Source organism: Homo sapiens, chromosome 4, assembly GCF_000001405.40.
Source record: "Homo sapiens chromosome 4, GRCh38.p14 Primary Assembly".
Lineage (NCBI taxonomy): Eukaryota > Metazoa > Chordata > Mammalia > Primates > Hominidae > Homo > Homo sapiens.
In genome coordinates, this window is record NC_000004.12 from 56,985,061 (window position 1) to 57,001,013 (window position 15,953).

The 15,953-nt window shown below is 40.3% G+C and overlaps 1 protein-coding gene and 1 pseudogene across 3 annotated transcripts in view; both read left to right on the forward strand.

Moving 5' to 3' along the window:
- The window catches only part of POLR2B (RNA polymerase II subunit B), a 52,263-nt gene that overhangs the window by 6,165 nt on the left and 30,145 nt on the right, over positions 1-15,953 (forward strand). The window contains exons 2-8 of one of the 3 annotated variants that reach the window (NM_001303269.2): positions 220-397; positions 1,294-1,366; positions 5,688-5,838; positions 9,344-9,456; positions 9,587-9,806; positions 10,191-10,349; positions 14,557-14,721. In NM_001303269.2, coding sequence (NP_001290198.1) covers positions 1,296-1,366; positions 5,688-5,838; positions 9,344-9,456; positions 9,587-9,806; positions 10,191-10,349; positions 14,557-14,721 — 879 coding nt within the window. In that variant the 5' untranslated portion in view covers positions 220-397; positions 1,294-1,295. The remainder of the gene's footprint in view (positions 1-219; positions 398-1,293; positions 1,367-5,687; positions 5,839-9,343; positions 9,457-9,586; positions 9,807-10,190; positions 10,350-14,556; positions 14,722-15,953) is intronic. The other 2 variants (NM_000938.3, NM_001303268.2) reach the window with 2 other exon arrangements.
- Positions 9,015-9,110, forward strand: LOC124900913 (uncharacterized; annotated as a pseudogene).

A 15,953-nucleotide genomic window follows, 5' to 3' on the forward strand; every position in this document is an offset into this window, starting at 1 on the left:
GGTGAGAGATGATCTGTAGTATTGACTATGTCTGACATGAGACATTAGCTTAGGAGGACTCAAGGACTAAAATTGCTAATGGAGCATCTGTAAGTGGCCTCTACTTATGGTTCGGGCTTTCTCAGTATGTAGCAGCCTCAGAATAGTGTATGTCTTTACAAAAAAAATTTTATTTTATTTTTTTAAATTTTTGAGACAGAGTCTCGCTCTGTGGCCCAGGCTGGAGTGCAGTGGCGCGATCTCAGCTCCTGCGAGGAGGCGGACCGCCCATTCCGTGCCCGGTAGCCGCGAGGGACCGGTGGTAGCCGCGAGGGACGGGCGGCGGGCTCGGTGCTGTGGCGAGGCGGGGATGGCACTCCCCCCCGCCGCCCCGTGGGGCGGCCCCGACTTTCGGGCGGTGAGTGAGAGGCGGGCCCTGCAACCTCTGTCTCCTGGGTTCAAGCAATTCTCTTGCCTCAGCCTCCTGAGTAGCTGGGATTACAGGCATGTGCCACCCTGCCTGGCTAATTTTTGTCTTTTTTAGTAGAGACAGGGTTTTGCCATATTGGCCTGGCTGGTCTCGAACTCCTGACCTCAGGTGATCCACCGACCTTGGCCTCCCAAAGTGCTAGGATTACAGGCCTGAGCCACCCCTACTTTTTAATGACAGCTCAGGGCTCCAGAAGGAAGTGTTTTAGCAAACATGACAGAAACTTCATTGCCTTTTCTGACCTGGCTTCTGAAGTCATGCAGCATTGCTTCAGCTGCATTCTCTTAAGTTACAGGAGAGTCAAAATCTACCCGATTCAAGGAGAGGGTGCATAGACCACTATATGTGATGATAGGAGTGTCAAGATCACATTATAGAAGACCATGTCGGATGGGAGATAGGCTTGTGGCCATCTTTGGAAAATGCAAACTTTCATACCTGTACATGTATGAAATGTTGCTATAATAGATTGCCCCACCTTAGGGTATTGCCCAGTTGTTGGAATCCTTCCATGGCTCTGCCCCCTTACCCTGTTCTCTGACTCTAGTGTCTGAAAATCTTGCTGATCAATAAAATGGAAAACTTAACATTCATACAACTTACATTGAACCTTTCTAATAAACCTCTTTTTATATTGGAAGAATACCTGTGTGACATAGACATAAATTATTTTATTAATGTAATTGAAATTTTAGAAAAGTGGGGTGAAAGCATTACTTATTCAGCAGAAAGTAAATATGTTTCTGCTACTTAAAGTCATAGGAGCAAGATGTTAACTAAGTGGCATCTCATTGCAAATGAGTACAATATTTTTGTTTTTACAGATATGCAATATGATGAGGATGATGATGAAATCACCCCGGATTTGTGGCAAGAAGCATGCTGGATTGTAATCAGGTAACTTTGGACCAAACTGAATTAGCCTGAAAAGGCACTTTAGATTTCCTGCTTATTCTTCTTGATAAATAGCTCTTCTATATAAATATGCTACATGAGAGTAGTTATTTTATTTATATATTTAACATTTTAAGTATTTCAGATCTAAAAGTTACACAAAGAATTCATTTAATCATTTTAACCAGATTCCGAAAATGTTACCCTGTACTACATTTCTTTGTCTTTTTCTCTTTTTGTATATATATATTTTTTTCTGAAACATGTGAGAGTAACTTGCAGATCATTTGACCCTGGGAGGTTGAGGTTACAGTGAGCGAAGGTCGCACCGCTGCACTCCAGTCTTGGTGATAGAGTGAGACCCTGTTTCCAAAAAAAAAAAAGAATAACTGCAGACATAAGAACATTCTTTTACATAATCACAATTATGGTGATCTTATTTAATCTATAGACCTTACCCACATTTTGCCAGTTGTCCCACTGGTGTTTATAGCAAAATACAAATTTTTCTGATCCTGGATCCAACCTAGGATCACATATTGCATTTACTTGTCATGGCATGTTCTTTTGTTTCCTTTAATCTGGAACAGTTCCTCAGTGTGTCTGTTCTTTTTTTTACCTTGACATTTTTGAAGAATACGGGCCAGTTACTTTTTAGGATGCCTTTCCGTTTAGGTTTGTCTGATATTTCTCATAATTAGATTCAGATGATTACTTTTGGCAGAAGTGACATAGTCTCAGTGCATCATATCAGGAGGCATGTTTGTTTCATTACTAGTAATGTTAATTTGATTGCTTGGTTTTCTCATTATTTTAAATGGACAAAGTTAAAATTGGTTGTATTTCATTCCAAATTCCCATCCAATTCTAAGTGTAACTAAATGTAATAAAATTACGAGAAGCCTTGTATAGGTAAGAAAAGTAACTTATAAGTGATAAAGTAACATCCTGTAAGGTTAGGATGTTAAAGGCTTATAACTCTTCTCTCTCTTCTCTCATCCCCTGACACCTGTTTTATATACAATAAGATGATGATGGATGCCTCTCTGAGCCCCATCAGCTCCAAGGTGCATGTCCTTTTGGTCAACATTCTCTCTTTTCAAAGAACACATGCTTCCAACATTCTGCCAGTTGTATTCAGAGTATAACTGAATAACCTTTCTTGAACGTTGTTTTGTGAAAGAGATACTGATTTGCCTATAATCCCAGCACTTTGGGATGCTGAGGCAGTCAGATCACTTGAGGTCAGGAGTTGGAGACCAGCCTGGCCAACATAGTGAAGCTCCGTCTTTACTAAAAAATACAAAAATTAGATGGGTGTGGTGGCGCACACCTGTAATCCCAGCTACTTGGGAGGCTGAGGCAGGAGAATCACCTGAAATTGGGAGGCAGAGTTTGCAGTTAGCTGAGATGATGTCACTGCACTCCAGCCTGGGTGGCAGAGTGAGACTCTGTCTCAAAAAAAAAAAGATGTTGATTCAGCATGTTGTCCAGAATCTTACAAAAAAAAGTATTGAAAGCCAGGTGCTGTGGTGTGTGCCTATATAGTCCCAGCTACCTGGGAGGCTGAGGCAGAAGGATCACTTGAGCTCAGGAGTTTGAGTGTTGCCTGGGTAACATAGTGAGACCTTGTCTCTAAAAATAAATAATTAAAAAATATATATTGAGTTTTTGGGATATAAGTATATATTTTTCCATAAGGAGTTGATGGTGAGGATAGGAGCTCTGTTTCTGGTGGCAGGGTTTGGAGAAGGGGCCGGGGCGGCAGTTGCCATGTTTGGTTGCAAAGGTAGCAAGAAGCCCCTGAAACAGCCCAAGAAGCAGGCCAAGGAGATGGACGAGGAAGATACAGCTTTCAAGCAGAAACAAAAAGAGGAGCAGAAAAAGCTTTAAAATAGAAGGCTGTGGGGAAAGGGCCCCTGGCCACAGGTAGAATTAAGAAATTTGACAAAAAGTCTTGGCGAGGTGGCTCGCACCTGCCCGTAATCCCAACACTTTGGGAGGCTGAGGCCGGTGGATGACTTGAGCTCAGGAGTTTGAGACCAGCCTATGCAACATAGCCAGACCCTGTCTATCTCTTTTTTTTTTAAAGAAAGAAAAAAAGAGAAATCTGGCAAAAAGTCAGCTTTTCATTGTGCCTGAGGTGATGGTGACCTTTGATTCCATTTGTATTTAAACATCTGTATTCCCTGCCATAATATCTTTTGCCACCTATAGCTAGAATGAAGCATTGTCCTGGAGCCATTTAAGAGTAAACTTTTGTAAACACAAAAAATAAAACAAATTGGCTGTAGAAGACTAAACTTTACTGAGACAGTTACATCTTCTGTGATGTTTGGGTGTTAAACACCAAGAGATATTTTATTAGGAAACAATAACCAGGTAGATGTTCTGTGGAGTGTGCCTATATTCTACATTCTCCCGGTAGAAAAAATATTTTATCTTAGGTGAAAAGAAGTTGTTTTCAACATATGTGGTAGATTGCTCAAGGATAAAATACTCTATTGTGAACTGTCATAGCATTTATCATTTGTTACAAAATAAATTATTTGATTTTTAAGTTTAAATTGACTGTAGATACTTTGGCTATTGAGAAATGAATTTTGATTTTTTTTTACTTTTTAATATCAAGTGATCTTGTGAATGTGATATTAGTTAATATCACAAGTAACTTCATAAGATGACTTCAGGTAAAATAAACAGAGTAGAGATCATAAATATGAAATATTTATATAGTTTAGGTGTTTAAGCACCATTCTAATGATTTTGGGTAAAGTAGCTATAGTTCAGCTTCCTGGGGTAATGAAACTTATCTATAGTTTAGAAGCTATTCATCTTAAATTGCCTATAAAAAACCATGGCTATGTATATTACAGGCAATGCCATGTTTTTCTTACAATATCAATGGCTAATCCACATGGTTGTGAGAAATTTCTTTCCCATTATGTGACAGTCTCTACTGAAATAAATTGCCCCAACTGTTATTTAGGTCATACCTTACACATGTGTGATTGTCTGCTGTGTTTTCTACCATAGGACCTAACTTCTAATTTTGGTGGCCATACTTGACTGGATCAGGGTGGGGCCAATTTGTTGGCCTGTCACTGATGTGCGAGGTGACCTGATGAAGCCAAAATGGGAGGCTGATGATTAGTTGGACTCTGCATATTGTCTTAGAAAATTGATGTGAAGATGGGGGAGTCAGTAGTTGGGGAGTAGAAGCTAAGAAGGTCTCACAGATATAAGATGACAGAGGTCACAAGATATAGGAGTGGAGACGTGGAGGTGTGGTGGGGCACTTCCTACTGCTGAAGGGTGATGGGATAATCTTGAGGGTTGTGCTACATCCTCCAGCCTCTGTGATGCCCAGCTTTGCAGCTGTCCCTGGATGGTAATAGGGAGTGATCTGTTGAGATCCTCTTGCACGTGTATCTACTTGTCTCTGTATGTCTTTCCCCACCCCTCACCTGAAAAGTATCTGTTCCTTATAAATATGATGTCTGCTTTTTAGATTGCAGCTCTCTCAGCCATGCTGCATTTTTATCACCAGTCTTTTGCTGAGTATTTTTATGTAAAGACTTATTCTTCTTATCCTACCTTTAAGAATTCAAAATAGAACTAATGATCTATAACCTAAAGTTGGCATTCTCATGCATTATTTTAGTCATTAATATCACTACCCTCCGTCCTATTCAAATGAAAGTTCTTATTGTTATCTTTGACTTTTCTTTAGTTTTCTCTCCTGACATATTTGTCAAGAAGTACTTCAAAGAGGTGGAATAAAATTTGTCCATAAAGGGCATAAAGTTTTTTTTTTTCTTTGAGATAGGGTTTCGCTGTCTCCTAGGCTGGAGTGCAATGATGCAATCATGACTCAATGCAGCCTCAAACTCCTGGGCTCAAGTGATCCCCCTACCTCATCCTCTTGAATATGTGGGACTATAGGCACATGCCACCATGCCTGGCTAATTTTTTTCTTATTTGTTGAAATGAGGTCTCATTGCGTTGCCCAGGCTGAACTCAAGCAATCCTCCTGCCTTGGCCTCCCAGGAGCTGGGATCCTTATAGTTCTTATATTGTGCTTTAAGTATTTTACCCCCAAATATAAGCTGCTTTTCCCCAAATAATAAGTTCTACAAAGAAAATATGCCCGGTTTCATCCTTTTTAAGATACCTCATAGTGTCTTGTTTAGTGGTTGACATATAATGGTTGGTATTTTATGACTGTTTCTTGAATAATGAAAATGGGGAAATAATGAAAATGGGGAATTATGCTAGAAATTATCACTGAGTTGCAACTGACTGAACTCAAATATTTTCCCAGTTCCTATTTTGACGAGAAAGGCTTGGTTAGACAACAGCTGGATTCTTTTGATGAGTTTATTCAGATGTCTGTTCAAAGAATTGTGGAAGACGCTCCTCCTATAGACCTACAGGCTGAAGCTCAGCATGCTAGTGGAGAAGTTGAAGAACCGGTAAGATAGTTCTAATAGTTACACAGGTACAAGAAGCGTATTGGTTTGAAATTTTAGCCCTTCTCTTACCTGGCTTAAAGGTTAAAAAAAGTCAGTTGGAGCTTTTAGCAAAGTACTTACAGCACCGTCAATCACTTTCTGATTTATTTTCTCTAATGAAGAGGTGTGTTTTTTTGCAAGTTATCCCATCCTTATTCACATAGTAGGTATTGAATAGCTGGGAAGAGAGGACTCTGAAATATGAACAAATAAGAGAAGTGAGCCAGAGATGGTCACATTGCTTTAGATAGATAACCCCGCTTTTTTCTCTCACAGTGTAAAAATAATAAAAAATGTTTGAAGGAATTTTCATCTGATTTTATATATTGCATGAAGTACATTATTATAACCATATGAGATAAGAAAGGAAAATCACCCAAACATAGCAGCTATCTTTACTAAGTTTCTTGTAGCTTTTGCTCACATATATGCAGGTTTTTTAGCATTGTTAAAATCATACTAAGGGTATAATTTTATAATTTGGTTTTACATGAGTGATTATAAGAAGGATGTAGTCCAAAATAATGACTGTCCCAGTTTTAGAGAAGTTGAGAGGCAGCTGTTGGAACATATTGGACTTTGAGAGACAGGGAAAACTGAGAAACAAAGTGAGGTAGGGAAAGCCCCCAAAATAGAGCTAGACACAGGGAGAGTTCATTGTTTCTAGCCTGATCAGTTTCTCTTCTGTGTAGCTTATCTCCTAAGTGCTGGTCTGTTATTTCCATTTTAGTTGGACATGCTGTACAGAATTTTGCTGTTAAGAATGAAAGTGATTGGCTCTTCTAGGGCTGTGCTGGAAAGGGGGACATTAAGTTTCTTTTTTATTCTTGGGTCATTTTTTTCTTTTTTACAGGGTCTATAGGTGCCCACCACCATGCTTGGCTAATTTTTTTGTATTTTTAGTAGAGATGGTGTTTCACATGTTGGCCAGGCCGATCTCCAACTCCTGACCTCAAGTGATCCACCTGCTTCAGCCTCCCAGAGTGCTGAGATTATAGGCATGAGCCACTGCACCTGGCTTGTTGGGTCATTTTTTCTTCATGGTCTTTGTATAACAAGCCAGATAACAATATAACATAGCAAATTGAACGTGCCAGTAACAGAAGTACTAAAAGAGGAGTAGATCTCTAACACCTAGTTATCAGAGCTTAGTAGAAAAGATGGAAGAGACTTAAATTTACTATGAAGAACTCTCTTAGAAGAGAAAAGGTGCTTAGTCATTTCAGCAAGGAAATATTTGGTGTGGCCGGTGCGATGGCTCATGCCTATAATTTTAGCACTTTGGGAGGCCGAGGCGGGCAGATCACCTGAGCTCAAGAGTTTGAGACCAGCCTGGCCAATATGGTGAAACCCCGTCTCTACTAGTAAAGTACAAAAATTAGCCGGGTGTGGTGCCAGGCACCTGTAGTCCCAGCTACTAGGGAGGCTGAGACAGGAGAATTGCTTGAACGTGGGAGACGGAGGTTGCAGCGAGCTGAGATCACGCCACTGCACTCCAGCCTGGGCGAGAGGTCGAGACTCTGTCTCAAAAAAAAAAAAAAAAAAAAAAAAAAAAGAAAAGAAAATACTTGGTGTATTTAGGCTGGGGACCACAATGATCAGTATGTGATTTTGGCTTATCTATTTTTTTTTTTTTTTTTGAGACAGAGTCTCGCCCTGTTGGCCAGGCTGGAATGCAGTGGCGCGATCTCGGCTCACTGCAGGCTCCGCCTTCCGGGTTCACGCCATTCTCCTGCCTCAGCTTTTTGAGTTGCTGGGACTACAGGCGCCTGCCACCACGCCCGGCTATTATTTTTTTGTATTTTTAGTAGAGACAGGGTTTTGCCGTATTAGCCAGGATGGTCTCGATCTCCTGACCTCATGATCTGCCCTCCTTGGCCTCCCAAAGTGCTGGGATTACAGGGCTTCTCTATTTTTAATAGGCATTAGGAAGATAAGATGGAACCCGATTGTTGAAAGCTTTGAATGTCATTGGATGTTATGAGGAATTACTGAGAGACTGTCAAAGAATATACATAAAGCATTATTTTAGAAAAGTTACTTTGGAAAGTGATGCTTGCTTGGAATAGAAAGAGGCTAGAGGAGGCCAGATGTGGTGGCTCATGCCTGTAATCCCAGCACTTTGGGAGGCCTAGGCAGGCAGATCTCTTGAGGCCAGGAGTTTGAGACCATCCTGGCCAGCTTGGTGAAGCCCCATCTCTACCAAAAAATACAAAAATTAGCCGGGCCTGGTGGTGCGCCTGTAGTCCCAGCTACTTGGGAGGCTGAGGCAGGAGAATCACTTGAACCCAGGAGGTGGAGGCTGCAGTGAGCCGAGATCACGCCACTGCACTCCATCCTGGGTGACAGAGTGAGACCCTGTCTCAAACAAAACAAAACAAAATGAAACAAAACAAAAGAGACTGGAGGAGATAAAAATCTTAGAATAGCCTATGATTAAGATAATAATGACCTAGACTAGATGATGGCACAGATAAGGAGTAGAGGATTGGCTTCCCTTTGGTTCGTTATCACCACCGTTCTCTTTGCCCTTTATCCAGCCCAGCTTGGGAGACTTGAGTGTCAATAATTAATCATTAGTAAAACGTCTGCTTACTCCTGTTTTCTTCTCTGAGACTTGATTTAGAGAAAAGTACACTATCCATTTATCTCTAGAAAGTTGTCCTCATGGATCTTGTTTTATTAGGCAGCAAGTGAATGTTTAATTGAAAAATTTCTTTTTTTTTCTATGAACTAAGCTATATTCCAGCCAGAGTTGGAAATTCTCAGCCCTTTATATAGAATGATTAGGATATTTTGTGTGTTTTTTAAAATAAAAAAATCTTTTTCTTTTGTTAACTCTACTCCTTTGACAGATTAATTTGTATATTTAACTGAAGAGAGGTTTATTTTTTAAAATGTTCTATTGATTAGATTAGAGCATAGTTCTAGTTGTCTGGATTTGTTATCTTTGTTCTCTGGTCACTTTGTATTTTTGATGATGCTTACCAAGGAGAGGGCACAAGAAACTATGTAGATCATTAATGTAAATCCATTTTAACTGTTTCATATAAACTCAGAGCACATGATGTGTACAGTCTTTACTTTTAGTATATTAAGTCTCTTTTTGTCTTCTGCCTTAAGAAAGCAATTAGCAGATCCTTCTGTAGTTGATAAGTGTGTGATGATTGGGTGTGAGATGTGCCTTCCTTAAACCTTGTTACAAACCTTGTTAGCACATTACCTGTCTAATGTGAAAAAAAATTTTTAAGAAAAGAGGAAAAAAGAAAGTGATTTGGTTTAAAACTTAACGTCTATGCAATATGGATATTGACTTTGGGAAGTCCCCATTTCAGTAAAATGGATTAATTTTGCCAGTTTGTAGAGTTGCTTGTACTTAAAATGTTAATGTCAATTAAAATGGAATCACTAAAACTTTTATGGAAAAAATTATTTACCCTTTTCATGTTTTTTTGTTTAATTTCAGCCACGATATTTGCTGAAGTTTGAACAAATTTATCTTTCCAAGCCTACCCATTGGGAAAGAGATGGTGCTCCTTCACCAATGATGCCCAATGAAGCTAGATTAAGGAATCTCACGTAAGAAAGAATTTTTCCTTGTCAGCAGTAGATACTGAAATAGAATTTTGAAAATGTAATTTTAACCACTTGAGGATTTGTTTTAACAGATACCCTATTGCTTAACTGTGATCTACTTTTATTTTCAAAGGTATTCTGCTCCGCTTTATGTTGATATAACAAAAACAGTCATTAAAGAAGGTGAAGAACAACTTCAGACTCAGCATCAGAAAACTTTTATAGGAAAAATTCCAATTATGTTGCGGTCAACTTACTGCCTTTTGAATGGCTTGACAGATCGTGATCTTTGTGAGTTAAATGAATGCCCTTTGGATCCTGGTGGCTATTTCATTATTAATGGATCAGAAAAGGTATAGTAACATTATTTTAAAAAATTACAAAATGGTAGTTAAAATTTAGTTTAAAGTTGAAATGAAAAAAAAAAAAAAAAGAAAGAAAGATTTTCCTGCAGGATAACCTGGCACTGACAGTTGACTTGTTTAGGGTATGACAGCTAAACTTATATAAACCAAAGCTTTATTTAGCTGTATATAACATGCACTGGGAATTTGGTCAGTTTTGGAGTTTATGTATTTCTATGAAGCATTTATGCAAAATGGAGTTTGTAAAGTTGAAGAATTAAATATTTCAGTGAGCCTATATGGTCAGATTAAATTAAGATGCAGATTTTACTCTCTTTTCTCTTCAGTGATGTTTTGGATTTTATGGCTGTAACTTTCTTATTGTCCAAATAGGTTCTGATTGCCCAAGAGAAAATGGCAACAAACACAGTTTATGTGTTTGCCAAAAAGGATTCTAAATATGCCTACACAGGAGAGTGTAGATCATGTCTTGAGAATTCTTCCCGACCCACCAGTACTATATGGGTTAGCATGCTGGCAAGAGGAGGACAGGTATGGACTGGATATGATGCTATTTGGGTTTATTCCTTTGTGCTTTGTTTTAAAATTTACTAGACTGCCTTCTTTGTCCATAGAAGCTTTTCTGGAGCATATTGTTGTTATATATCGTATTGTTTACCTATCGCTGTGTAACAAATTACTCCTCTAGCAACATTTATCATCTCACGGCTTCTGTGAGTCAGGAATCTGGGTGTAGCTTAGCTGGGTCTTTTGGCCAAGCAACTCTCACAAGGCTGCAATCAGATGTTTCCCTGGGCTGCCGTAATCTCAAGAGTCATTCCCATGGTTGTCTGCAGGATTTAGTTCTTCATTGGCTGTTGGACTGAGTCCCAGGTCTTTGCTCGCTGTTGGCTGGAAGCCTTTCTTTGTTCCTTGCCATGTGGGCCTCTGCGTATAGCAGCTGACAGCAGCATAGCAGCTTGCTTCTTCAGAGAGAGTAAGCAAAAAGAGCCATAGAGAGTACGAGCAAGGTGGAAATCAGTCTTTTATAACTTAAAAGTGGTAGCAACATCCTGTCATTTTTGCCATGTTCTTTTTGTTGGTTGCAAGTCAGTATGTCCAGCTCACACTAAAGAGGGTATTACAAGGGCAATAGTAGGAGGCAGGAATCATTGGGTACCAGCTTAGAAGCTGCAGACCACTGGTATAGTTATAAGCATAGGTTGCTTATAATAATGGAACCTGGTAGTAGCTAGCAGTTCTTAAATATTTGCTGTATGCCAATTCTGTTACTCAGATTGCTTGATTTAATTTTTACAGCTATCTTGGAAAACCTCTATTTCAGTTCATGTGTGTGTGTGTGTGTGTGTGTGTGTGTGTGTATGTATATGTGTGTGTGTGTGTGTATATATATATATATATTTTTTTTTTTTTTTTTTTTTGAGACGGAGTCTTGCCCTGTCACCAGGCTGCAGTGCAGTGGCATGATCTCGGCTCAGTGCAAGCTCCGCCTCCTGGGTTCACGCCATTCTCCTGCCTCAGCCTCCCGAGTAGCTGGGACTACAGGCGCCCGCCACCGCGCCCGGCTAATTTTTTTTTTGTATTTTTAGTAGAGATGGGGTTTCACCGTGTTAGCCAGGATGGTCTCGATCTCCTGACCTCGTGATCCGCCCGCCTCGGCCTCCAAAAGTGCTGGGATTACAGGCGTGAGCCACTGTGCCCGGCCTTCAATTTTATTTAATAATTATGCATGTGTGGGATGCAATGTGATATTTTGATACGTGTATACAATGTGTAATGATCAAATTAGGGTACTTAGCATACCTGTCACCTCAAGAATGTTTTTCATAATATTTTATTTGTAAGATAAGCATTCTTCCCATGTGCACAACATTGCTGGGTATTGTTAAGAGATCATGAAAACACACAATCCTTATTGAGAAGGTGGCCAGGTGTGGTGGCTCATGCCTGTAATCCCAGCACTTTGGGAGGCTGAGGTGGGTGGATTGCTTGAGCCCGGGATGTGAGACCAGCCTGGGCAACATGGCAAAACACTTTCTCTAGCAAAACAACAACAACAAAAACCCAAAAATTAGCTGGATGTGGTGGCAGGCACCTGTAGTCCCGGTTACTCGGGAAGCTGAGGTGGGAAGATGGCTTGAGTGCTGAGGTTGCAGTGAGCCCAGATTGGCGCCACTGCACACCAGCGTGGGTGACAGAGCCAGAGCCTGTTCCAAAAAGAAAAAAAGAGAAAAAAAAGAATGGTTTTATTGGGAATACAAGCTTTAGACATTAAATGGTAGTAACACAGTGCAGAGGCCAAATGACACCTATTACATATAACAGTTTTATAGAAATTTGGAGGAGAATGAGGTTACTAGTATGGTGTGGTCCATGCAAAGTTTTTTTTTTTTTTTCTGAGACAGGGTCTCATTCTGTTGCCTAGGCTGGAGCGTAGTGGCGCGATCTGGGCTCACTGCAACCACCACCTCCTGGCCCAAGCGATTCTCGTACTTCAGCCTCCGAAGTAGTTAGATTATAGGCATGCTCCACCACACCTGGCTAATTTTTGTATTTTTTGTAGAGACAGGGTTTCACTATGTTGCCTAGGCTGGTCTCGAACTCCTGAGCTCAAGTGACCTGCCTGCCTTGGCCTTCCAAAGTGCTGGCATGAGCCACCGCCCCTGACCAGTTCATGAAACTTAATAGAGAAGATGGGACTTGACTTACACTTTGAAAGATGGTATGGATTTATATAAGCAGAGAGAAACTGGAAGGACATTCTTATTAGAGGAGAGTGGGGATGAGTATTTGGAGAATCACTGGAAGATAGCTCTAATTGAGCTGGATGAAGTATGTTGAATAGTGAGTGACAAGTAGATGATCAGGGTGGATCTGGATTAGTGGATCTTAACTAAAGGTTCACCTCAATAACCTAAGACTCTTCCAAGTACAAAAGGGGCCCATTTCCAAATCTGCTGACTCAATAGTGAGAATGGGAGTGGAATGGGGCCCAGGTACAAGTATTTGAAAGAGGTCCCCAGGTGATTGTGATGTGCATTCTTTGTCGAGAGGCATCGGCCTGGATGACAGAGGGCAAAGACATAAACAGTATATTAGGGAGACTATCATGGCAACTCTGAACAAAATGAATTAATTAGAGACAGAGAAAGGAAAATGATCTGGATTTGATGATAGGTTTGATAAGATAAAAGGATGAGTCAATTAAGATACTATGATTTGTATTCTGAGGTTCCAGGAGAGCGGTGAACTTCGAGTAACTGATTTAGGAGAGAACATAATAAGTTCAGTTTTAGATAAGATTTTTGGGGAGTGCATGTTGTAGACATTTTTTTTCTTTAAATTTTTTTTTTTTTTTTGGAGACTAAGTCTGGAGTGGCTCTATCCCAGCTCACTGCAACATCTGCCTCCTGGGTTCAAGTGATTCTCCTGCCTCAGCCTCCTGAGTAGCTGGGATTACAGGCGTGTGCCACCATGCCCAGCTAATTTTGTATATTTAGTAGAGACAGGGTTTCACCATGTTAGCCAGGCTGATCTCGAACTCCCAACCTCTGGTGATCCACCCGCCTTGGCCTCCCAGAGTGCTGGGATTACAGGCATGTGAGCCACTGTGCCCGGCCTGTGAGCCACCGTGCCCAGCCTAAAATTTTAAAAATATTTATAGAGATGAGGTCCCACTATGTTGCCCAGGTTGGTCTTGAAATGCTGGGCTCAAGCAATCCTCCCGCCTTGGCCTCCCAAAGTGCCGGGATTACAGGCATGAGCCACTGTGCCCAGCTGTATTATTTTTTAATGTTCTGCTTGTTCTGGGATAAGATCCATGATGAAACAAATAATAGACTAAATGGAATAATTGATGTCCAGGTGGAAACAACCAATTGGCATTTGGAGATATGGGGGCTGAGGGTACAAGAAAAAGATCAAGATAAACATTTGGGTGTCATATATGAAAAGTTGTTACTGAACAAGTCCATGAGAGGAGTTCTGAAGCAGGAGGCCTGTGGTGGGAGGAGGAAGATGACAGAAGTTATTAGAGGGATTATAGTAATGTAGGGTTATGAGGCCAAGGGAAGATAGAGTGAAATTAATATTGAAGCAAACAAATATGATTAAAACTGAGAAGTCAGGTATGTCATAGGTTAGTAACTTTTAATTTGTCTTTGTATATGCGTACAATTAAAGAGGGAGAAATTGGAAAAAAGAAGCTGTGTGAAAGGGGCTGTTAGTTTTGAAACACTGAGACAAGGAAATGCCTCACAGACCAGCTCTGATTTAATATTTATTTTTTATTGTGTGCTTAGCTTTTTTCCGTATTTGTCTATCTGTATTGTCTCTTTTTTTTTTTTTTTTTACCTCTCTTCTATTTCTTTCTTCCAGAGGTTTAATTTTTTGGAGGGGGGATAGGTTGGGGAGGGTGAGGAATCAGTATTCATATTTTTTTGCAGCCAAAAGTGATTTCCAAATACAGTATTGGGTAATTCTGAGAGAATCTTGGCATGCAGATAGGAGAGAATGGAAGTTGTCTCAGGTCTAAGTGACCTGAGCCTGTATGTAAAATTAGTATACTTGTTTCGGTGGTTTTGAAAAGCAGTCATAGGAGGTTCCTCACAGTATTGGGAGGCGTGCTTCTTTTGAAATGTGCACAAAGAATATATATATATTAAATAGTTCTCTTGGTGTTTTTATATTGCTGTGAGCTTTTGTATATTCATGTTCTAATGATACTTTATTTTTCTAGGGTGCCAAGAAGAGTGCTATTGGTCAGCGCATTGTGGCAACTCTACCATATATCAAGCAAGAAGTTCCCATCATTATTGTGTTCAGAGCATTAGGTTTTGTGTCCGACAGAGATATTTTAGAACATATTATTTATGATTTTGAAGATCCAGAGATGATGGAAATGGTAATGTGAAAGCAAAATGTATTCACAGAGCTTTATAAGAGATTTAGAGTTACTGATTGTTGCTAACCTTAAAACATAGTAGAAAGCTGTTCTGAAGAGTAATTTAGCTGTCACAAATCTTATGCCATTTACTGTGTAGTGAAAGCTTTCAGCCCTGCCTGGGTCTCTTTTCTGACAGTTTGTTGTAAAATAGACATGAAAACCAGAGGCAGCTGGAGTTAATGACAGCAGCAAGAAGAAACATTGGTAAGGAAGCTCGCAGAAGCACACCAGCTTGGTGCAATTTAGTAAAAAGGGAAAATGAGTAGTTGATACCTGTTGTTTAACTTTTTATTTTGAAATAATTTCAGACTTACAGAAAAGTTACAAAAAGGCCAGTCATGGTGATTCACGCCTATAATCTCAGCACTTTGGGAGGCCAGGGCGGGAGGATCACTTGAGTCCACAAGACCAGTCTGGGCAACACAGGGAGACCTGTCTCTACAAAAAATGCAAAAGGTTAACCAGGCATGGTGGCATGTTCCTGTAGTCCCAGCTACTGCGGAGGCTGAGTTGGGAAGATCGCTTGAGCCCAGGAGGTGGAGGCTGCAGTGAACCCTAATCATGCCTCCCCACTCCAGCCTGGGTGACAGAGTAAGACCTTGTCTCAAAATAAGAAAAGTTGCAAGAATAATATATAAAAGTCTTATATGCTCTTCACCCAAATTCAACAGTTGTTACTTTTGTCACATTTGCTTTATCATTCATTCTTTCTATATATAACACATTTTTTTTCTGGACCATCGGAGAGTAAGTTATAGCCAATAGCCTCTTACTCCTAAAGACTTCAGTGTATATTTCCTAAGAATCAGTACATTCACTTAAATAATCGTAGTATAATCATTTAAATTAGAACATTTTACTTAGATACAATACTGTTTTTTTTGGGGGGGAGGATAGAGTCTCACTCCGTTGCCTAGGCTGGAGTGCAGTGGCACGATCTCGGCTCACCACAACCTCCGTCTCCCAGGTTCAAGTGATTCTCCTGCCTCAGCCTCCCAAGTAATTGGGACTACAGGCACGTGCCACCACGCCCAGCTAATTTTTGTATTTTTAGTAGAGACGGGGTTTCACTGTGTTGGCCAGGCTGGTCTCAAACCCCTGACCTCAGGTGATCTGCCCACCTCGGCCTCCCAAAGTGATAGGATTACAACAATACTGTTAATGTACAGATCTGACTCAGATTTTTGTCA